We start from the raw sequence: 25,905 nt of genomic DNA on the forward strand, positions 1-25,905 counted from the left end.
TCTAGAAGTAACACAAACACTCATTTAAACTCAAATTAAGATCTGTGGTTTGACTTCTTAATCTGCATTTTCTTTGGCCAAACTGTTAAGAATAGCACATAGGCCGGGCGCGGTGGCTCACGCCTGTAATCCCAGCACTTTGGGAGGCCGAGGCGGGCGGATCACGAGGTCAGGAGATTGAGACCATCCCGGCTAAAACGGTGAAACCCCGTCTCTACTAAAAATACAAAATATTAGCCGGGCGTAGTGGCGGGCGCCTGTAGTCCCAGCTACTTGGGAGGCTGAGGCAGGAGAATGGCGTGAACCCGGGAGGCGGAGCTTGCAGTGAGCCGAGATCCCGCCACTGCACTCCAGCCTGGGCGACAGAGCGAGACTCTGTCTCAAAAAAAAAAAAAAAAAAAAAAAGAATAGCACATAACATTTCTTATCTAACAAGGTTAGATGAGAACTGAGGGAGAAAAAAATGTGTGAGTTGATTTACACTCTTCTTAGCAAATAGGAAGCACTTAAAAAATGGTAGCTTATTATTGTCATCACTGATTTTTATAGAAATATACATACGTAACATGTTGATATGTGTGTCCTCTGTCTCAAATGCCCCTCCTCCATATATTTAAAGATCTACTTATATTTATTTCCTTTTTATAATTAGTAATTTTCTCCAACATGAATAAAGTGAAGGGGCAAAAGGAGAAGGTAACTTAATGACCACCTCTACCGGAGTATTTACTTTTTATTCACTGCTTTGGCGGTACACGTCTCTTTTGTGACCTATTTTATCTTCCCAGTCCTGAGAAATGTTAACCATAATCTGAGGCTACATCAATTACTTACCTGATCATTCTTCCCTTGGAATCAAACCCTGTGAAGATCAGATATCTTAAATTCATAAAGAATGAAAATCCAAATATTACATACTTAAGAATCTCTTCCCCCAGATAAATCTCTGAACATTCTGTGAAAAATAAATGCATCTAAACTTCTCTAACTTGGAAAAAGTTTATTTTAGTCATTGTTTTATGGCAAAGATGAGATAAGAAGTGTGAAGTGTCCTAAGTTGAGGATGGCAATAGATCTATTGCCAAAAGGATCACAGATATTCCCTAATATTATCAATCCTTCCCTAATCTCCATTCATGCCGGTATTCTTAATTTGTGTTCCATGAATCAAGGGCCACTGGGCTATGACTCAGTAGTTCTCAACTCAGGGTGATTTTGTCTACCTGGGGACATTTGACAATACCTAGATTTCTTTTTTGGTTTTCAAAACTCAAGGAGGTGGTAGGTGCTACTGATACCAAGTGGATAGAGGCTAAGGATACTGCTAAACATCATCAACACACAGGACAGATCCCACAACTAAGAATTATATGGCTAGAAATATCAATAGCCCTGAAATTCAGAAACCATGGAATGGGCTTTTAGAGGTACATGATTGTCGTGTGTGTGAGTGATCATTCAGTAAACCCTAGAAGGGCATTGTTTCATTAAGGTTATTGAGAATAAATATGTCCCCCAAATGTTTAATTATCGCTGACTTAGAGTGAAAAAAGCTGTAGAAAATAGAGCAGAGACAAAGAAGAAAAGAAGAAATACATTATACATAAATAAGCTATTGACATTTAGAAAATAAAATTAGCTAGACACTGGATTCCACGGGGCAATTAAATAACTAAATTATTATATATGTTTGTAATGAATGTAATGCATATATACAGAATGTAAGCCCTCAACTGTTTTGAAACTCTACCTTAAAAATTCAAAATGATAATGAGTACTGAGAAATAGCTTACAATTGAAAACTAATCTATTTATAAATTTTCTATAAATCTACCTATAAATATACTAATGTATTTTTACAAACTAAAATTCACCAATTGCTTTTTTATTTTCATGAAAGGAACAATATATAGGAGCCAATAAAATCTTCTTTTAGTTTGCTTACTAAATAGCTACATGACGTTGGTCATCTTTTAATTTATAATTCTCCACATACCTTCATTAAGCAATTCATTAAGAACAGGAAGAAAAAAGTATGGAAGGTCTTTAAAAAGGCACCTCAATATAAAATATGGTTTTCTGCTGACTTCCAAGCCTTTTACTCTTACACATTTTAAAATTATTTTTGTTCTTCTGTTTGCATCATGTGATCTGAACTATGACAAGACCAAACAAAATGTTTTATGACCTGGTACTATCAGGCTAAAGTTTGCAGTGTAGGATATGTCAGTAGTTACCAAGTATATAGTATCAATATTAGAAAATTACATTAAAAACAAGGAGCTATAGATTGTAACTCAATTCAATTCAGTCGACATTAATTCAGGCACTGTGCTAGGTGCCAAGCACACAACAAGCTTCCTGAAGAGATGGTTAACGGATAAGGATAAATCGAGTATGAGTCTAGGTGCCATCTAAGGTGGATAATCTCCTTTATATGCTGTTTTACTCCTCTTCTCCTTCTATACATTGATATTTATTATATGTTCTTCAAACTCCCTTTCTCCTGTACACAATAACGACTCTTTGTGACATCTGAAGAAATATTTTTTTGGTTATCAAGCCATCATCTAAATTATGATAGTGGTTTTTAGTATTTAAAAGCTACATCTCAAAATCAGAGGGAAAGTTTTTTCCATCTGTAATTAGAGAAAAAAGTTTTACTAGTGTATTATATTCCACAGCAATGCAGTGCATGTTCTCAATGAATCAAAGCTATTATGGAAAGGGAGCTTATACATGGAGAAAATACATCTCATTATATCCTTCTAAAGGGTATCATGTCTAGTTAATAGATCCTTACAAGAGTATGAACATGGGGAAGACGAATAATTGTTCTTTGACAATAATGAGGTACACATAAAACTATTCTTGTATATGGTTCTATCGCAGGCAAAATCGCTATGCAGGTAGAGTTTATCTTTTGTTAATGCTCACCTTTTCTTTTACTATTCTTATTCCTCTATTTCAGTAGTAATTACTCCAATTTTTATCAGATGATTTTTGTTGTGTTTATTTTTCTCATTTAAAGTGATTTCTAAAATAATCAGCTGAAATATAACTTTAAAACAGTAACAAAAACTTAATCATTTACTATGTACTGTGCACTGCACTAAGTGCTTTATACAAATTTCCTTTCTGCTCCTTAGAGTAACCCTAAGAAGTATGGAGTCATTCTCATTTTATCATTTTGAACCATGGCTTTGAGAGGTAAAGTTGCCTAAAGTCACATTAGAAAGTGAAAGAATCTAGATTACTCTGACTTTGAAATCTGTGAACTTAAAAATTTTAGCTTCCCGCAAAGGGTTTTTATATAGTATAAAGACATCCTCCATCCTTGGTTTCAGCCAAAATCAGGATTTTATTCTCTATTGATAAGCCCAATTTTTACAAAGGATATTTCTGAACAGAAACTTTCTTCTCATTCATTAAATTATACAATCTATATTTGTAAACAACATAAAATAATTTACTCGTGCTTACTAAGCGCTTACTATGAGTCAGGCACTGTTTTTAGAATACACACATTTTATAAAAATAAGTCCTCAAACCATTCTATAAAATATGCACTATTGGCACATAGGGTTAAGCACTTTGTCCGAAAGGTGGTAGCAAGATTGTGATTTAAAATGAAGCAGTTAACTCTAGAGATGACACTACACATAAGTATGTTCCACTATTACTCTGTCAGATACTTTTCAAACTGACTAACTTGCCCCAGTAAAATGGGCTATGAATGAAATACAAATTTTCTAAATAGTTGCTCAAATTGGAATATAATATTTTAAATGAATCCCAGTTGAAATTCAATACAAATTCACACTTGATTCAGTATTTCATCCTACATAAGGAAACCAAATTCTTAAAAGCTGACATTTACATGCAGATTGCATAATTACATTTCTTTCTGAAAAGTGAACGAATTACAAAAATTAGTCTAGGAGCAAAATATAAACAATTGTTGAAGATTAACAAAATAAGCAGAAATGTAAACATAAAATGTCTGTCCATATTAATATAGATATTTCTGAAATATTCTAGATATAGTTATGGCTTTTGTTTATATTATACAGTTAGTTGAATTTTAGAAGGATCACAAATGAGCATGTTATAAAAAATCATTTTAACATTTTTGTTCTAGGAGGAAAAAATCATGTTTTACAGTAATAGCAGAAGTAAACAAGTCAGAATATGAGCCTAAACAGATGGCCACAGAATAACCTGACATTAAGTTGGTACTATAAATGATGAGACCATAAAAATGTATAGCTTTTTCACTACCCTTTCACATATTTACATTTATTGTCACTTAAGTTCATAACCAATTTGGAGACCAACAGTGTGGTTTTAACACCTAACATAATGTATTATAAATATTTTCAATTCTGTCACATTTTAAAATAGAAATTTAATAGGCAAATCTTCTAATAAATGTATAAGCATGTTTCTCAAACTTCATTATGCAGAACACTGGTTTAAAGAAATACTTCTCAGAAAAAAATCCAAAATAGTTTTATTAAAACTATATATTTGTTAACACTATAGATTTGCCAAAATGGATATTTAACATTGTCATATTAAATACTGAAAGGCCTTGTAATTAAAAAAATGTTTATAAAACTTTTTTTTCCATGAACAAAATTTCATTGAGCACAAATTGTGGTGTCCGGCACCACTTTGGCAACGCTTGGCATAAAGCATGCAAGGTCCCTGTTCTTACACAGAGGTAGTGGGATACTACTCAGCCACAGAAAGAATGAAATCAAGTCTTTACAACATGGATGAAACTGGAGGCCATTATCCTAGGTGAAATAATTCAGAAACAGAAAGTTAAATACCACATGTTCTCACTTAGAAGTGACAGTTAAACAATGTGTAACATGAACATACAGAGTGGAATGATAGACATTGGAGATCCCAAAAGGTGTAAGGGTAGGACCAGGTGAGGGATAAAAAATTACCTATTAGGTACAATGTACTTTATTTGGGTGATGTATACACTAAATGCCTAGACTTTGCCATTACACAGTATCTCTATGTAACAAAATTGCACTTGCACCCCCTAAATCTATTTGTTTTAAAAAGAAGGGAAGAAAGACAATAAATACAGTATCATGAAAGAGCATATCACGTGGGGGAAAATGGGCATCTTAGCATTTCACTGGGAAGCTATCCTAGATTGGATAACTGGGTGGCAGGGCCTGCTTGCTGAGAAGGAACCTTTTACTCGGAAACGTGAGTGGCCAACAAAGCCAGAATGGTATTTCCCTTACTTACATAAGGTTTGGAAAGTGAAGTGGAATAATATATGTAGAAATTATGATTTCTATAAAGGGAGTGCATTGGGAGATGAAGCTGTGCCCTGCCTGAGTTCTGGAAGCCTTCTCCTGAAGTGAAAGCTCAAATAGCACTGGTTTCCTTTATAGTGACAAAAGAAATCTAATTGGAACACAATGGGAGAAGAATACACAGGGTTCATTACTTTTGTCCTTATTAAAAACTATTTTCTTCTGTTGTTGTCTGTTTTTCCTGTTTCCACTTGTTTACCTGACGTATATAATAAGCTTTTGAGGACAAGAGATTTTTCGTTTTTGTTTTTTCTAGTGGATCTCAGTCATCTAATAGACTACTCTCATATACTAAATGCTCAAGCACTATTAGTTGTATCAATGAATAAATCATTATTATCTCCTTCACTCAAAAAGCAAAGAGGTTTATAAATATCAAATTATCATTTAAATGTATCTCCATGAATGTGCAATAAAGGTACATATATGCTTAATTAGTGGTACATTATTTGAAGATATTTGTCTTCTAAAATTATTCGCAACAGCATATAATGCTTTTTAAAGCAATCTCTTATAAAAAAAATCTGAAGATCATGTTGGTCAGTTAACCAAAAAGTAATTTATTATGTGCATACCATAAATATTTTATTTTTACTTAAAATATGTAAGTGTATATTTATGTACCAGTCTTAAAACGTCAGGTCAGCATCTTTTGTTAGCAAGTAACTAAGGGACTAAAATTCCACACTGTATTTCTTCTATCACATACAGCTTCCACTAAGATTACCATATTTTCAGTTTCTTGTTCTTCAAAGAGGAATGACTATTTAAAGACATTTGTGAAGCATTCTGAGTGTAGAAGTCATCTAGGTTTTAATTATTTTCCTCCAAATTTTTTAGTTACCCCATCTACATATACTTAAATATTATTAAAAATAGTTATTTTTAAAAATTACCTTTATCTAGTATTTTCAAAGAATTCAACTTTGTAGAAACAAAAGTCTTTCTCAACACATTCATATTAAACAGACTCTGCTAATCTCAAAAGGCAATTAACAAGTTTATAGTCATATTAAAGAGAAGTTTACTTACATGCTGTAGGCATCAGATTTTTTTAAAAGAGTGCTGATCATATATAAGTCAGCTGAGGGAGATTTCTTAAATATTTTTATTAACATCATGTAGATGGATAAGCATTCCCATTAGCAGTCCCCAAGAAACATCATTTGGAAAAATGTTCATCAAGAGTGATCAAAGAGCTCTATTTCGTCATTCTTTGAAATTACCTATGCAAGTTGGATGTTTTAGTTCTCTGGAGTGAATAAAATCTGCTGTTATAGTTAAATATACGCTTAATAAAAGCGACCTTAAAATTGCTTCTTAAAAGTTGTGATGAATGTAGTCAGTCCAAACAAAACAAAGAGAATTTTTAGAATCTAAAGTTATCTATACTTGAATAGTTGCTGTTCTAACTTTCTTGAATTACTGCTATGTAGGCATATCTTTTGGCACACACACACAAAAAAACTCTCTCTTACCTCTTATGTCCCAAATTAAGTGAAGTGATAAACAAACAAAAAAAATTAAAAATGACAATGAAAAAAGATGTTGATGGTATGTGGTGGGAAAAGATTAATTTTCAATATATCATACTTTCCCTGATTTTCTTATCCCTATGTAGATTCATTTCCCCTTAGATGTTTCCATCATTTATGTAATACATATATTCACTGGAAAGAGTAAAATATGATGGGGAATGGAGCACAAAAGGGGAAACGGTGTTCTCTGGAAATTAGAGGTATCACTAACTATGACAGGCATATTCAATATGGAGGCTAAAATAAAATCAAAAGCTGTTCTGGAGTCCACTGAAAATGAAATAAAATCTGTAACTCTGAGTAGTTTATATCTGTGTAATCATTAATATGGAGACAAGTATACAGAATAAGAAATCAGATTGAGTTCCAATCCAAGCTTTGATGTTTACAAGACATTTATTATTCATAACAAAAAAGAGGTCTTTCACCATCTAAGCCTGTGTTTATTCATTTGTAAAACTGGAATTTTAACACTTGTTCTCCTTCCCTCATAAGGCTGTTGTGATATTTAAGATAATATATAAACAATACAACATTTTAAGATACAAATATTATTTCAAAGATATGAAAGAAATATGTTTAAATTTAAATTTAAAATTTGTAATAAATATTTACAATTATATCTTGATGCTATTTTAATGGGATTATTTAGTCGCATTAAATAGCTAGATATTCTATATTTAAGTTTTAAATATAGAAATTAGTCACTATAAATGATTATATTTTGAACAATAAAGTCATATTTCTTTGTTGATATCTTATGCTACAATGTCTTCTATTATTTGTTATCCAAATTAAAATAACATATATATGGAAACTAAATAATTTTAGAGTAGTATTTTAGTTCTTAAAAACTTTTTAAATATTTTATGATATTTAAATGAATTACTTTTAATGACAGAAAATACAGCCCCTACTAACTCGTACAAAACGTTTAATAATGCATAGACTTTCTCAGTAATAATCATCATTTAAAATGATAATGTTTTATTTCTTCGTAGAAAACTACCTTTTTGAACATAAAGAGAAATCTAAAATAATGTACCAAAGTTTAAGTTTTCTACAGATGGAAAACACATTAACAATAAATTATTTTATTTATGTCATTTTGAAGATTATGTTAATATAATAAATTTATAATTATTATAAATTACTGTACTGAATAAATTTCCGGTTATTTATTTAACTGTCATTTCTTCATAAGATAGTTCAATGGTTGCAAATAATTTAACATTTTCTAATTAATCAAAGTTGAATAACTATATCACACTACTAATTTCTGTATACCTTACGTAGCAGATTTTTTTTCTCTAGCCTACACTTACACTAAACTCTTGGACAATCTTTTTGTTTTAATTATGCATAACTGATGATAGCTGTTTGCCTGTTTAACCACCAACCTATCTGATGATGCCAAATGAAAATCATTCAAAATTTATAATAGATTGACTCTTTCATTAGGAAGATAGTTTTGTTAGCCTTTAATTTTAATTAATTTTGTGATAGTAAGGTCAATCAGTTTCAATATTTCTATTAATCTTTGAGTACATCAAACTTCCTCTTTTACATTTTTTCTCCAAGAAAAATAACTGAAATGTAAACACCCAATTTAATTAAATAACTAAGAATTAATTTGAGCCTAAAGTATGTAACTAATATACTACAGAATAACAAGTCAATTGTTAAGTGTATTTTAAGCTTTCAAGAAAATGAAATATATGCAATCAATAAACTATTTATTGAATTCCCCACTAAATGGTAATATACCCTGTAGGCACCAGAAACTAAAAGTTTTTACCTTTAAAACCAAACTAAGAATTATTTGTTTCTTAAATCTCTAAGGCATGCACTATTAAGCATACCTGCTAAGAACTTAAAAGATATTTGAAAAATCTTCAATGAGCTTCCTATTTTTATAAATTTTAAAAATAATTTTCTTAATAGGTTATACAAATCATAGGACTGTCATCATTATCATAACAGAATATTCAAAATAATTTTCCAACTCTGAAGTTTATTTGATTAGTCCTACTAGATAGGACTTAATTCTTCTTCCTCACTTGTGATGTCCTATTTTATACTCCCCTATTCAAAAAAATACTACAGTATGTACTCTAGAATTGAAGTGATTTTATTAAGTAAAATTCCAAAAATAATCTTACTTTGAGATAGCATTAAATTTTTAAAATATAGCACCTTACTAAACTCCTAAGATCATCGTTTGTGAGAATATTTCCCATCCATGTTATTACATCATCATAATGTTATTGATATTAACATTTTCTGGGAGTATGGCAGTTATATTTACAGAAAAGTGTGCCCTTGGCCTCACAAAACTTCTGGTGAGTAATTGACATAACATTGTAATGAACTCTAAGAAGGAGATGCCAATACATATTTACCTCAACATATATTCCAAATGGATCTATGTAAACTATGTTAACTAATAACAAATTTTAATAACTTAATAAATTAAAAATGCATATGTACCATAAGTACATACACTGTCAAACTAAACAGTAGTTTAATCCTCAGTACTAATAGTAGTACTAATCCTCAGTAAAGGATTCTACTGAGAGAAACAAGTTTTTTATAGATTCACTTACTCATTTCTACACACCAAGCCTGTTCAAGGCCTTAAGAGATACAAAGGCAATTAAGGTAACAGCACCAGGTCTATGGCTGGGTAGAAGTCTTTTATAAAATATGTATATAATTAACTAAAATACAAGAAAGGAACTTCTTTATATTGACCAAACACATTTTATCAAATCCTGTATTAAATGCAAGGTAAATAAATTCACTAGGTAAATACATTCACAAATGTGTGTATGTATATACATACATAAAAATCTAAAAAATGTACCAAGTGTGTGTGTATATATATATAGACAGATAAACACACACACACACACACACACACACACACACACACACACCAATTTGGAAATGAGAAAAAAACACCATTGAGCTAAATTCAGAGAATAAATAGAACTTGAAAATTATTAAAACCCTTTTTTTTGAAAATCAATTGATGAGGAGGAAAATGTCCCACACAAGACAGGGCAATAGCAAAAAGTCCTATCTGAAATAAAGAATAATTAATAAGTCCCTAAAGCATACCGGAGGGTAAAGAAGTAATCATGTTATCAGAAAACTTTGATGTTGATTGCTATCAGCTAATTCCTTATAATATCGATGAAGGTTTATTGTTAATATTTCTAAAAATCTTACTGGCAACATTTGTTTATTTTGTACCAGGCATGATGTTGAGGAGCTTCCAACGTTTACCTTTTTTAATTCTTAGAACCTATAGGTTAGGCATTATCATTAACCCATTTTACAGTGAGGTAACCAATCGGAATCAGTTTCCTGACCCAATTTTTAAAATAATTCATAGAAATATGCCACTATTTGCAAGGACCCCATCTTACATACAATGCATATGTAATTTTAAGTAGAAAAATGATGAGGCTATTAAAGGGTTTTATGAGAAATTTGAAATAGCAAGAATAATATATTCTTATATAGGAGAAGAAAGGTGAACAGGAATTTTAATGTGAAAAAAGAATATTATCAAGAATTTTCATTTTAGGGATTTCCCCATACTAAAATTATATACATTGTGCCCTACTTAAAGCTAGATAATACGGAAAAGTCCAGATATTGTCTGTAAGAAAATAGTTATATGTATCAAATATTAAGATAATTTTTGAATGCCACAAGAATATTCAGAAAATCAACTCACCAATTATTGAAATTGCTAGAGAGAAGTGTCATCCATTCCATTGTGCATAGGCATGTTAAAATAATTGATAAAATAAAATCACAGAAGCATGAAAGTGCTATTTCAATGAAGAATTATTTGCAAAAGAATTAAAAATATCGTTTGCTTTGTTGGTAAAATAAAGCATCAGATGTCCCTTACACATATTTCAACCAAGAAAAAAGGAAAACACAAGTCTATTGAAAAAAGCGTAGTATAGTAGGAGAAACACATAATGATGGTAAGAAGATTATGATGCTAACAGAAGAAATGATGAAGAAAATAAACCTTCATAGACTTTCAGAATATGTCAAAAACTGATGATAAATTTAGAGGAAAATCCATGTATAAAAGTATTACAGAGAAAACAGTATGAAAGAAAAGCATCCCAGATGGAAAAAAAAATAAGTCCAAGAAGTAGAAACAATATGTGTGAGGTCGCCATGTCTTCAGACATACTCTACTCTTCACGGTATCAGAAAGCTGTCTTGAATTTAAAAGAGGTGAACCTGAGACGTTATTAGGGAGCAAACAGAATACACCAAATACAATATAACATGTAACAAATTCTTTAACTAAATTTTTCTGGCCATAAATTATAGCTATATTAAAGGAAGAGGAGGAAGGCAGCATAAGAAAGAAAACTGATAATGAAAGAACATGAACTGTGTCTGACACTGCTTTTGGCACATTCACGTATATTATTATAGTGTTCACAATAAGTATGGGAGTAGCTCTCAGTATTTCCATTTTACAGACAAGAAAACTGAGTCTCAGAAAAACCAAATAACTTGCTGTGGCCGCTGAGCTAAGAGTTAGTGAAGCAGAAATCCGCACGTAAGTTTTTTGTAACACACAACAGTGTTTAAGAATATAGACTGAATTACAATGTAAATTCAATAGATGGGAACTTATCTCTTATCATCATTGGATCTTAAACTCACAGAAAGTGGATAGCATACTACAGGGACTCAATGCATAAATGCTGAAATTGGGTGAATGAACTCCTGAAATAACAGATTACCTATAGGAAAAACTGTACAATGAATGGAAAAATATAAATTTACAAAGAAAGAAAAATTAAAAATCAATTCAAGGATTCTAGAATTTAGTAAACATATTCTATACAAATATACAGGATTAATAATTTTAAATAATATAAATCAATGCTGTTGACTATGTCTGTTACATTCTTATGTATAGCCAAATGAGATAACAGACTAATATAAAATTGATAGAACAATATAAAATGGAAGGGTTTAAGAACGCGAAGAAGGAGCTAGAAATGGGTTATAAAGGTTTGAAAGCCTTTTTTAACAATATGAGAGAAAAATAGTACTGCACTGGAAAAGCTTTGGATATGTAAAGCAGCCACAGCCATCATAAAATTTACACTTCTCTTGGGTACACATGCAAAGTCTCTAGAAGACGGATATATAAGCACATTTTAAAAGATTCTTAAATTATGTGCTATTGGATACAAACAAGTTTTCACTCAATTAGGCTATAAACTATATAAACTACTTCTACCAGCTAGCAGAAAAAGGCAACATATCTAATATGTTTGATTTTATTCATTGATGGCAATTAAACTTAAGACTCTATAACTTACTACTGACATGTTATTGAAATTGGAGTACAAGGAACTTTTATAGGTCTCTGAATCTTTGGATCTTCCTATCTTGGGAAATAATGGTGCTTAAAATTATTGGCTGCCTAACCCCTTTCAAAGGAGTGAATCAAGGTGATTCAGCTGTTCAGGGTTATATCAGGATGGGCATTCAGATGATTAAACTAGGGACTTGGAATACTATAACAAGGAACTACTGATTTTCATTTCTTTTAAGGACTAGAGTGCACAAAAAAGCTTCAGGACATATTGCGGCTTTTGAAAGGAAATGAGTCTGAGCTTTGGAGACACACAGGCCTAGGATCAAATCATGGTTATGCATTAATAGCTGTAATAAAGTTCGGAAAATTACTCAGCTTCTATGAGGTTGTTTCCCCATTTGTAAAGTAGAAAAAGTATAGTTTGTTGTGAGGATTCATTGCAGTGACCAATACATTATACCTAACTCTAAGTGATGTTCAATAGCTGTTTATTTTTTTCTGTTATCAATAGCTTGTAATCATTAGGGATGGAATCATTTATGGATGAGAGGTTTTTTTCAGAATATCTATAGTAGTTTTAAAAATTCAAAATTTTCCTATCTAGTAAATGCATGTGACCTTTTAATATATATGCATATATAATATATAGCATGTACATTTAATATGCCAAATATGTAATCTCATTTAAACAATTTCACGTTTCTTCAACTATAGAACATACTTTCTCGATGTTTTTAATCACTGTAGACTTAGAAGCTAAAAGGCAGTTGGTGCCGAGTAAATGCGTAATAAATGAATAGCCAATAAATCTATCAATTGTTTTGATCTCTTTTAGTAAGAGTTACAAGATAATGAGAAAGGCACTGGGCTTGGGATAAAGGACTTGGATTGTAATTGTGGCTCAGCCACTGCCTAACTGTTCCACCTGGGTCAAGTTACCTTCCCTTGCCAAACTACTTGGCTATAAGAGTGGGAAAGAAATAGCTTATTGTACACAGCTGTGAATGTATGTCATATATGGTAGATGTTCTGGGACTGTGGATTCAATCTGAATCATGATCTTGATGATGGCTCCATCATCATGACTATAAAACACTATGCTATGCATTTTGCAAATATGCAGAATTAGGACAAGCATTCATACATAATTCCGAGCTTTTATTCAGTATATTGCCTAGGCAACAATGGCAATGTATAGGGAAAGTTCTTGCCCATACCTACTGCTTCTGAACTGCATTGCCTTCAGCATAACCTACAGATGCTCCAAGGAACCATAAGAACATATCTAATCCTCAATAATTATTTGCTACACTATCCAGAATCCAGAGTTTGCTAAGTTTTTAATGCTAGTCCTCTTATCAACTATTCCAATATTATCACCAGCTGTCGTATCTTCCATTCTAAACTGCCACAAATGTTCATCTTCATCCTCTGACTCTTTCACTGTCATTACATATTTCTAATTAGTCTTACTTCCTCTCTTCTGTTTCTTTCCATTTCTCACTTATGTCCTCAATGTTTCATGTGACCACCCAATTATAGTGATCTCTCACTTCAAGTAAGTGAATCAAATCACCATCAGTCTGCTGAGCATAAAATTTGTGATTCCATTTCTTTTGAGTGCTCTGGGTCTGCACCCCAACAGCTAAAACACGTTTTAGTGTGTTTCTACTTCCAAATGTGAAGCCAAGTGCCAATAAATTTCAAAGTGAGATTAGCAGAAAAAAAGCAGCATAAAATTATTAGTTAATGTACTTTTAGTACTTACTATATGTTATGTACTGTTAGCATTTTACATGTAATGTCTCATTTAATCCGTGTACTTCTGTTGTGGAGACAAGGCTTTTGTTCAAGGTCACATAGCCAGTAAGTAGAGAAGCAGGAACTCAAGCTCTGGTTACTTCCATTCTGGATGCCTCAAAGCATGAACAATTTCAATAAAACTAAGCAATCATGATAGATGATAAACTTTGCAAATAAGCAAAAGCAACTTCACGTCTAGAATTAATAATTGTTGAACAAAAATAAGTAACATAAGCTCAAGAAAGAGATGCAGAAGATTTTTCAAAGATGTATTATAATCCCTCAACGATGTGAATAGGTTCTTGGAAGCTGCAACTTTAAGTGAAACAATGTACAACAGGTGATTGAATAACATCATTTTGTTCCATGTTGCTTCCTTATAATGCTGAGGAGGGAAGAAAGGTTATTTTCATTATACATCATTTTGCTTAAGTCAGAGTTTCTAAAAACTTATCAACAACATTAAATGAGCACTTACTGTATATATAATATCCTTCTGTGAACTTATTCCAAAAAATGGCCCCTGACCCAATTGCAGGCCAAGGTATAAAGCTGCTATCTATGTTCTAAAATAAATATAGACTAGTAACTAAGAAGGAAGATATACACTTGGATGAAAAATATAATTTTCAAACTTCAATACGTACAGTGTATATCACTTCATCATGGAAAGGTTATATGGTTTGGCTGTGCATCCACCCAAATTTCAACTGGAGTTGTATATCCCAGAATTCCCACGTGTTGTCCCAGAATTCCCACGTGTTGTGGGAGGGACCTAGGGGAAGTAACTGAATCATGAGAGGCGGTCTTTCCCATGCTATTCTCATGATAATGAATAAGTATCACAACATCTGACGGGTTTATCAGGGCCTTCTGCTTTTGCTTCTTCCTCATTTTCTCTTCCTGCCACCATGTAAGAAGTGCTTTTTGCCTCCTGCCATGATTCTGAGGCTTCACCAGCCATGTGGAACTGTAAGTCCAATTAAACCTCTTTTTCTTCCCAGTCTCGTGTATGTCTTTACCAGCAGTATGAAAACAGACTAATACAGAAAATTATGGGTTTAGAATTTTTCAGTTATGTAATAAATTATAAGAAACTAAATATATTTTCTCTTATTATAGTTCTAAATAATGAAATTTCTGGGCTTAATTCTATGTCATCCCAAGTGATCTAAAGTTTAAGGTAATTTGATGAGAAGTCACTAATACAGCTTAAAATGCTTTCCTCCCTCCCTTTCTTCCTCTTCCCTTCCTCCCCATCTCTACTCTGATTCTTTCACTCAACATTCAGGTTTTGAACGCTAATAACCTACCAAGCACTAACTAAGTAGTCTACATGTCATTTTCTATTCAACTGATCAATGACCAAATATATTAATTTGAAAATACTTTCAAATCAAATATTATGTATCTAAATATATTCTACTGTAAGAAATATTCTATTTATTAAATTAGAAAAACTTTATGATCTGTTTATTAGATACCCTTATATAACAGGATAAATGTTATTAGAGAAAATACATAAAATATCTTCTGATTATAGCTCTTATATTCACAATATCTCTTAAATTCATTAATACCTCTAAATTTAACTTAGTTGCATGAAAAGAAAGGGGTTTCTGAAGACAATGGAACACATATTTTCCATGGCCCTTTAAGTTATCTAAAACCTTTACATATTTTATGGCAGTAGCCACAGCTTTAAACATACGCTAATACACACACAAACTCTATCAACAGCATGAGCATGAGCACTGGACCTATGTCCAAATGACTTAGAAAAATTCAGTAAAGAACAACTTTGTTCTGGACTGAAAAGGGTTATAAGCATCTTCCCTAAATTGAGTAAATTACCAGCTATTTGGAAAGTACAATATATTGGCTTTTATTCAAAAGAGCAACATTTAATTCTGGCAACACTGCCAAATTCCTCCTTTCCTCTATTCTCCTTTTCTTAGAGAAAGTGATTAAGAGACCAATTCCCATGCCAGCTGAATGCTTATAAGAGCATCAAAGGTCCTCTGTCAGAATTCAGAACCTGATATGGCTTAGAAACCACTACACCAATAGATAACATCCTCAACATTATAAATCAAAGCCATATGACCACATTAAAATTCTATCAGCTAGTATCAATACACTGTGGTTTATAAAGTACTGCTGACCTACCTCTAGGAGATGGTTAAAATGATACAAAAGTTATGCTCTGGTTTGGGGCATGTAGCTACTTTTTACAATTGAGTTATTCATCCATATTAACAGCAAATTCTTTCTACCTCTATATCCTTATTGATTTTGTTTAATTAAAGCTTTAGGAGAAAGGAAGAGAAGGCTCCATAAGTCGAGGTAGAAACAGAAATAAATGTTAGGAGGTCACAATAGACATTTTGCTATTTTGAACTGTTCCTGTTATCTGTTGATTATAATTGTCAAGGGCAAAAGCCTTCCCATATAATTTAAAATCTGGGATCTTCTTAAAATTATAACCACATTTCAAAATCTTACAACAACTAGGTCATTGCACTTCAAACTTTTCTGCTTAAACCGACAGTAAGAATACCCTTGAAATCTTAACATAGCACATACACACACACACGCAAGTACACACAAAATAGAAGTTAATCAAAGAATACTTTACCTTTATTATGTAAAATGCCTTATATTTTAGTACATTTTATTTAATAATACCTTTAGCAAAAAGTACATTTTCTTCAAAGTAGACTGTGTCCTGTAATTTAAATAATTTAAATAATATTTCCAATGTATATCTCTTAAACCACTAAGACTGCAGGAATTATTTAAGGCAGGGACTGTTGATATATGGATTTAAAAAAAAAAACACTTAAATACATTCATTTCTTCACTTACCCTTCCATTGATTCATTAATTCAAAAATTAGTAGATATTGGCCTGATACATGAAAGCTTCTGTGCTAAGGCCCTAGGGATAGCTGAATGAGCATTTTACCACTACAAACCCACGTGTTGTTCTTTTTTTTTTTTTTTAGTTTCCAGAATTTGGCTTTATTTTGCAGTATAGAAATCATTTGGAGCCATTTTGAGACAGAAGTAGAGGCTCTGTCAAGTCAATACTGCATTGCAGCTTGGTCCACTGAAGAAGCCATGCCTGAGATACAAAAGATGTGCTACACTTTACCCGCTTTATGTTCGATTCCTCTCCCCTTTTCTCTCATCAACTTTATTAGGTTAAAACACCACATACAGGCTTTCTCCAAATGACTCCCTATTGTCTGGAGTTTGGTTAGAATTTTATGCCCACATAAACCAAACTTGTGGCTAGGCTATTTGGGCCCTGCCATAACATTTGACATAACACAAAATATAAAGTCATAGGGAAAACTTCTGGATGCCATCCCAAACCGTGGACTATTCAATTTAGAATCTCCTGAACCTCAAGAGGACAGATGGCACACAACTGTATGGATCCAGCTCTTGAGCAGCAGAAGCACATAGCTACACTGATTAAAAGATAAACTGTCTCAAGTTGTCTGTATCGGTATCCCAATGTTTGTTTAAAACTGATCCAATTAAACTTTACAGTGAGTCTTTGGCAAGATATGGCGAAAGCCCATACCTTTAACCACTCTATGGCCTTGGAGAACTGCCCCAAGGATTTGCAAGGCTAAGTGCTATTTATGGAGGTACCTATATGCTGAAAAAACCCATTGAAGAAATCATTGTGCAGAATGGAAAAGTAATTGGAGTAAAATCGGAAGGAGAAATTGCTTGCTGTAAGCAGTTCATCTGTGACCCCAGCTGTGTAAAAGATCGGGTAGAAAAAGTGGGCCAGGTGATCAGAGTTATTTGCATCCTCAGCCACCCCATCAAGAACACCAATGATGCCAACTCCTGCCAGATCATTATTCCACAGAACCAAGTCAATCGAAAGTCAGATATCTACGTCTGCATGATCTCCTTTGCGCACGATGTAGCAGCACAAGGGAAGTACATTGCCATAGTTAGTACGACTGTGGAAACCAAGGAGCCTGAGAAGGAAATCAGACCAGCTTTGGAGCTCTTGGAACCAACTGAGCAGAAATTTGTTAGCACCAGTGACCTCCTGATACCGAAAGACTTGGGAACAGAAAGCCAGATCTTTATTTCCCGCACGTACGATGCCACCCATGTGTTTTTCTAATTGAAATTAAAATGACAAAGAAAAACAGAAAATACATCTTCACAAAATATCAAAAAATTTCTATTATTTATTCATAATGATCTTAAAAGTTATACCACATTTTTTTCTGTAATAGATACAGCAGAGTAATTAAAACTCAATTTGATAATGATTATGACTGTAGAAAAATCTGAGATTTTAGTCTCTAGTCATACGGTAATTTTTGTTTCTACTGGTTAATCTGAAACACATAAAATACCTGACAAAATAAAATGTGAACCAATTTAACATTTCCTTTAGAAAAGCAAAAAGACAGGTAATAGGATACTCCTAGGGAAAAAAAACAATAAATTTTATTTTTTTATATGCACAGAAAGTGCCAATGACAATCTTTAATCTATCAGCAAGCTTCCAGAGAAATGTAATGAATGATATCAAGAAATTTAACTTCCTTCCAAATTCAGAAATCCTCTCTAGAGCATCCCTGAGAGAGTCATTTAACGACAGTCTTAAATTATCATTTCTCCTGAATAATTACAGAAAAATGTACCAATAGTAGGACTCAATGACAATCGCTTATTTATATATGAGCCAGACACAAACATAAGTGTCTTTTAGAAATTGTTTTACAGAAGTAAACGAGAAGGTCACCACATCATCTGATATACAGTTAAGAGGGAGAGGTGGCTTTTATCTATAACTCTGGCTACTTGAGAGCTTGAGGCATAAGGATGGCTTGAGGCCAGGAGTTTGAGACCAGTCTGGGCAACACAGTAAGACACCATCTCTAAAAATAAAAATAAATTAGCCAGGTATGTTAGCACACACCTGTAGTCCCAGCTACTCAGAGGGCTAAGGCAAGAGGATCACTTGAGCCCAAGGATCTAGAGGCTGCACTGAGCTATGATTGTGCCACTTCGCTCCAGCTTGGGGGACAGAGTGAGACTCCATCTCAGAAAAAGAAAAGAAAAGAAAAGTGTAAGTCATGTGATGTCTATACTGTTCTAATTTCTGCAATTTTGAAACAAGATATGGTAGAAAAATGATCTGATTTTTAATCAAAAGATTCCACTGGTTTGAGAGACTAATTCCTACAACAGTCAAATGGTTCAATTAGGGATATTGTTATGGTCACATACTTCATAAAAACTAGAAACTTTCATTATCACCTCAGATGTTACTCTATATAAAGAAAGATCTTTAATTTTTATTAAATTCAATAGGCAACACTGTATGAATTGTCTTAGCATTCTGATCACACATCTACAAGCAGGGTTTAATCATAGTTATTTTTGGCTCAGTCAAAAATATAACACTGTTATTGAATCTCATCAATAAATGTTCATCAATTTATTTTCCACACATAAGAACGTTATATATTTTCCTACTGAAATTATTAAATGATATATGAATTCAATATTCCATTTATTCATTTGGTTTATTAACATAATCTGTGTATGGATTATAAAGCCTCTTCTTTTTTCTTTGTAATATGCCTCAATATTCTTATGGTTTAACTTCTATGCGTGTTTCCTTAAAAAACTATTACATCCAGTGCTGGCGAGCAACACTTATGGTGCCACTGGCAAAGCAGTCACTCAATCAAATATAATTAAATCACAAAAACTACCACTTTTCACTATGCATCTATCAAGGTTCTACAAACAACACTTAAACCGTTTTGGATATTTAAAATGGGAGAATTTAATGCAGGAAATGTATTTTAAAGGAGATGGAATACCTGGGAAGCCAAATAGAAGGTGGTAAGATAACCCAGTGGTTAGTAACATCAGGAAGCCACTACTACTCCTAGGTTGAAGGAATAAAGGGATAAAGCAGTAAAGAGAAACACAGGAGCTAGTTATCAGTTGGAAGTTGGAACAAAAAAGGTTCCAGTGGGAGATGAATACAGTGATATACACTGCCCAAAACAATGAAAGAAGGGAGAAATGCCCTAGCCCCTCAATTCATGATGTTGTCCCTTCACCAAAGACTACTTTCCATTGGCTAACGACAGCCTGAAGATACTTGGCAAGGAAGACTGGGAAATGTAGCTTGAGGGATTAGCTCCAGCCTCCACCCGCAGACCCCCCTCCACCCCCATAACACAGAATAGCAGATGGACAAAGTATGGGTCTGGCCAATCAGGCCTAGAACTGACACAGACCATGATGTGAACATTTCTGTAAATTCTTTAGAAGTCAGGTATTGCAGTATTAACTTATTCCACGGAGTGATTTAATTGCAAAGTCTATCTATTTAAAACAAGTAGTGCATTAACACGCTTGTGTTCAAAGATCTATACAACTACATGGGCTTTTGAATTCTTCTGAACTAAAAAGATCGGGCAAAATACATTCATCTAGAAAATTAAAAACATTATACTTTTATTAATAGTTGTGTACTAATGTATCAAGTAATATATCTTGCCAATAGAACAGTTCTGCAAATCAATATAGGTAACATTTAGCATTTATTACATATCCTAGAACATATTTTTCCAGATTGACCATTCTGATAATTCATTATCCCTGCTCTTTTTAAAAAGAGAAAAAACTCAGGATTTTAAAACTATTTCTTCATAATACTATTTAATAAACATATAGGTTTTAAAATAGTGCCTTAATGTCCTAAATTGAAAATATCGGTAAAGTTGAACTGTGTATTTGGAAGGTATAATGCATCAATGTGTAGGAATAACTCAACAGAAAATGTGAGTCTTGAATATTATTCCAAAAGTACACCATAATTGATTTTTACTGCTATTGGTAATTCTGTATTCTCATACAGAAATCATTTATTTTATTGTAACTAACAGCATGCATTTCAAATCATAACTAGTTAATGTAGTCTAATAAAAAGGCAAATGTTGTGAACAAATAGGATAAGCAATAATAAATACTTGTCATATTCATTCATAAATTTACTTGTAAAAGTTTTGCAGTTTCCAATAGTGTAGAAATACGCCCTAAGCAAAAGGCTTCTTCCGTATTAGAGTATCATAGTAGGATATCACATAACTTCCATTCAAATCTATTGCATTAAAATGACAAGAGTTGTGTTTAACTCTGCTAAAGTAAAAGAAGATATCACAATTAAGGAAAGAATCTTTCTTCCTTTCTTCGATTAAAGCATGACAAGCAGATAATAGCATATTTTGAATTCATATCAGAAAGGCGGCTAAAAAAGTACAAACTTCATAGAGAAGGGCTGAATAAGAAACAGATTGAAAAAATTAGCTTAAAAATAACCGTGTTTTAAAAATGTGCAGGCACTGGGAGAATGTAAATGAGAATGTTCGTAGTATTGTTTCCAAGGGGTATTAAACATTTTTGATATGTTTACATAACAGTATTTGTTAATAAGGTAAGAATAAAGCAACTGGTTCATATTAAAGTGACTGCAAAATGATTTTTTTAAGTCTCCTGAAATTTATGTATTGTTCTAGAGCAGAGTTATATTCCCCTGAATTCTCCAGTTCTAGAAACACTGGGTACTGAAGCATAACCAATGTGGTTCTAGCACTTCCTGTTCTCTACTAGATCAGCCCATGACACATTAACTCAGATCTTCCATGTTCACAAAATGCAACTCAAAACATGGAAAAAAAGTAAATGTCTCCATACAAGATTAACAAGTTCTGTTAAGAATAAAATACTGTATATATTAAATGTAGTAGCAATTAAAGTCTATATTTAATAAGTTAATGGCAACAGTTTGTGTTTATAGCAAATTACAATGTATTTTAGACATCATATATTTTTTAAATACAAAGCTTAAGAAAGGGAAATATCAAACATTACTATATTGAATATCTGTATCATTAAATACTTTATCAAGAAGGTCCAAATAATTCAAGTGAATCATTCAGAAATTTAGCACAGAATAACATTATTAAAAGTAAGAAACATCTTTACACTTCATATATATGGCTTCACTAACCCTAAAAGACAAAGTTAAAATGATAAAAATATTAAAATTATTAAGTGGAATGTCATCATAAATCCTGTATTTAAGCTAAACAGAAAAGATGATTTACAAAATGATAGATACAGTTAGATAACAGAATGAATTTCCCTTGGGTATTATAACTCCACTTAAGGAAAGTTTTGTTTTTCATGATCCTCTTCTCAAAAACAGATATTCTGGCACTTAGGAGACAGAAATGTATCATTTGACCTTTAAACTTCTGTTTTATTAGTGTAACCACAAGCAACAGAGTCACTGACTGGCATGTTTGCACTTTATGGCCTTTAGCACTTAAAATTATTTGATAACTGTTATGCCACTATTTGTTTTTTATTAAAGACACTGTGAGGAATATGTTACATTAAAAATAGAATATATTGGGCTAAGCTTGATGAATGATATGTAATTTGGTTAAGTGTTCTCTTGAGCACTTCATTCATGTATTTTGATGGGACAAGGGCATATGTTTGAAGGGTAGAATTTTGTTTTGTTTTCTAGTGAGTTAGAGAATAACAACAGATATGGTTTTAAGTATACAAAGAAAAAACAAAATATAACTGTAACATTACTCTTGATTAAAAAACGATGCATCACCTGAGTTGCCTATACTCAATTAGTCCTTAAGCTCTATCTGTAATGGTCTATGATCAGAGGAAATTACCAGCTGTAGAGAAGAGTCAAGAAAAAAATAACTGACAATATTTAACATTTTCTAATGGAGAGAGAATTTCTTATAAATGGATACGTTAAATTAGTTTAAAACCTACAGACAATGTAAGAAGTTCAACAACTGGATAATTCTTAGAGAATTTCAGAATTACTGTAAGCAAATTGCTTTGAGTAAAAGTAATGCAGTTCAAATTTCTATTTCATATGATAAAAAAATTTAAAAACTAAAATCTAATTTGTTAGAAACATTATTGAGAAGACACAGAGACTCTGTTCTCTTTAAGAAGTTTGAAAGTCAAGTTCCCTCAGTATCACAAAATGCGGGATATAGCATCAAAATGGATGAGGTACAGAGCACACAAAGTAAACAAGGACTGCACCAAACCAACAACACTGGAAATATATGGTCCCCACATATTAGGGAAGCTCCACTGTTGGAAGCAATGAGTGAACTAAACATGGGTCTCCTGGAAGCAGAATGTGGGTCCAGCTATCTTCACTAACCATAGTATTTATTAAATTGTTGTTTGTTTGGGAAACCAAATGCCAGGATACATTATTGAAAGAAAAGCAGTCTCCTAAACCCTTTAGGGTGGAAATGGTAATGCTCACTACAAATAAGCAATATGTTGCTTGCTACAAAAATACATATTGCAGCTCCCATGATATGTGTTTGCAATCTCTGAAGATAGTGTCTTGCCCTTACCACTGTTGTTCAAACTTCTAAAACAAACTTAACATAAAGAGAAAATACAGGCTTAATTTATATCCTCTCTGTGACAAAGAATTTATCACTGTTACCAACAATGAAAAGTTTTTTTTTACTGTGTAATATCAAAGATATTAGTTACTTTTGTATATAGTGGCATTTGTTATTCAAAACAGAAATTATTAAAAACATATGTATTAGTGTATATTAAAAAATACGATAGTATTCCAAATTTGAACTCATAGGCATGTTCCAAAAGGTGTAAGTCATATACCACACCCACATCATTAAATTTAAATATGTTGCATGTTTCAAACAGAAACATTTCCCACTCTCTTTCACCTTAGACATGTCATGTACACTGATGTTGTGCAAGCCAGACTTACAAGCCAACTACCACCCAGTGGAGAAAAAGAAGATCTTTCAGGGAAATGTGAGGTGGGGTGGCAGGGGGAGAAGGGAGGGTGATGGGAAAGAAATGAAGGAATAGGGCGTTTAGCTTTGTTTAGATCTAAGCTTTGCTGATCATCCATTTATATTTTCATAGGAAATAAAATATTCCCAGACTCCCACTCTGCAGTGTTGCTTAGGGGTAAAATCAGGGTATGGATGTTTATTAATGACAAACCACCTCAGAGCTCAAGCTCAGAGGAAAGAAGGGAAAATGAGAAAAATAAGTAAAAGTGAAGACTGATGGAGGGAGGAAGGTAGGAATAAAAAGGGGATAGAAAGACACAGAAAGAGAAAAAGAGAGAAGCAGAGACAGAGTGAGAGCAGCGAGTGAGACAGGCAGTGTGTACACATGTGTGAGTGACAATGTGGAACAGAGAAGGAGAGTATGCCTTTTAAAAACAGTGAGAGACAATCTGAATGTGGAAGTGGTTCTTACAGCATGGAAGTGCCAGTGCATGTGAGGATGTGAGAGTATGTGAGTTAGTATGTTTATGGAAATAAGATTTATGAGGGTGAGTAAATGGTACTGGAGGGGAACAGTGACCATGCCTGTGTGTGCCACAGGGGTGGGAAACGGTATGGGGAGAGGGATGAGAAATGGGAGTCAAAAGAGGGAAGACAGGGCACAGGATAGGGACATTAAGGAGGAATAAAAAAAATAGACAAAAAGAAAAAAGGGTAAAAGAGAGGAGGAAAGGGGATTAAATGTGAGGAACAGAAATTAGAGTCGTGGAGATAAAAATGAGAAAATATGAGAAGAAATTTTAAAAAGGAGGGAAAAAACAGAAAATAGAAAAGGTATGAAAAGAGATATTGGAGGGAAAAAGAGTTACAAGGAGGTGGGGAAAATGGTATAAGAGAATGAGGAAGGAGAAAAGAAAGAAAACAGAAAGCGGTAAAAGGAAAGAAAGATAAAGAGCAAGAAATCGAGCCTAAGTGTCCAAGTGAGAGGGAAAATAAATGGGAGCAGAGAACAGCAGTTTGAAAGAGTCGCTTATGCTGGAGTAAAATAGAAACAAACCTGATAAACTTGTCAGACTCTCCAGGAGTACCCCATGACAGTAAAACAGAGACCTTGTGCATTGAGTTTCAAAGTGGCACCTGCCCCTCCTTCTAAACCTGACAGTTCACTCATCCCCAGGCTACTTGGCGTTCCGGCAAAGTGCTTTAGCATCACGAGTCCAGCTTGCTACCTGCCCCAGCATAAACGGGCCGGGGCTCCGGGAAGAATCTGCACCTGGAATTCTTGGGATGTGGTCTTTCCATGATGAGCACCACCAGCATTATTGCTTGTGTTATAAAGAAGGCAAAGAGGGTTCAAAGAGAGACAGAAAGATAGACCGAAACAAGTACGAAAAGCACGCCGTTCTTCCTACCTAAGCACCGCCGTGTCCCCTTTTCTGACCATCATGTTGTCCACGGCCGCCCAGGGGAAGTCCACACTCTGTCCAGCCGGGAGGCAGGAGGGTAGCAGGCAGCACAGGCTGAGGAGCACCGCCGCCAGCCACTGGTTCGAGCAACAAGCACCCTGCACCAACAGCATCATGTCCATCCCTGCTAGGGCTGCTCACTCTCCAGCAGCTTTCAGCTCGCACTCCCCCACCCCCTGGTGCTGGCGAGTCTTCCCGGGAACCAGGCGGCGCGCCACAGGATTTTTTTTTTTTTTTTTTTTTTTTTTTTTTTTTGGTGGGTGGGTGGGTTTCTTTTCTTTCTTTCTTCCCCCCACCCCAGTTGTTGGGTGTTGTTTCTCTCTTTTTGTTTTTCGGTGTTTTTGCCTCCCCTCCTCCTCTTCGCTTTCCCTCCCTCCCTCCCCTCCCTCCCCCTGGCACCACACTACACCTCCTCTCGGTTGCTTTTGGCCGCGTCCGGAGTGTGTCTAATTCTCGGGCGGCTCGCACACCA

General features: G+C 33.5%; 1 protein-coding gene and 1 pseudogene across 4 annotated transcripts in view, besides 1 other annotated feature; one reads left to right on the forward strand and one right to left on the reverse strand.

Moving 5' to 3' along the window:
• Window positions 1-25,600, reverse strand: part of NEGR1 (neuronal growth regulator 1) — an 886,597-nt gene extending 860,997 nt beyond the window's left edge. For all 4 annotated transcript variants that reach the window (NM_173808.3, XM_011541200.4, XM_017000961.3 and 1 more), the window contains exon 1: window positions 25,380-25,600. In NM_173808.3, the coding sequence (NP_776169.2) occupies window positions 25,380-25,555 (176 nt within the window). In that variant the 5' untranslated portion in view covers window positions 25,556-25,600. The remainder of the gene's footprint in view (window positions 1-25,379) is intronic.
• Window positions 17,596-18,209, forward strand: GDI2P2 (GDP dissociation inhibitor 2 pseudogene 2; annotated as a pseudogene).
• Window positions 25,787-25,846: a silencer, noted in NCBI's record as "silent region_992". NCBI's record gives its function as "represses an Ori minimal core promoter by ATAC-STARR-seq in GM12878 lymphoblastoid cells {active_cell/tissue: GM12878}" and the evidence as "EXISTENCE:reporter gene assay evidence [ECO:0000049][PMID:35858748]".

The sequence above is a fragment of the Homo sapiens genome, chromosome 1 (assembly GCF_000001405.40).
Source record: "Homo sapiens chromosome 1, GRCh38.p14 Primary Assembly".
Lineage (NCBI taxonomy): Eukaryota > Metazoa > Chordata > Mammalia > Primates > Hominidae > Homo > Homo sapiens.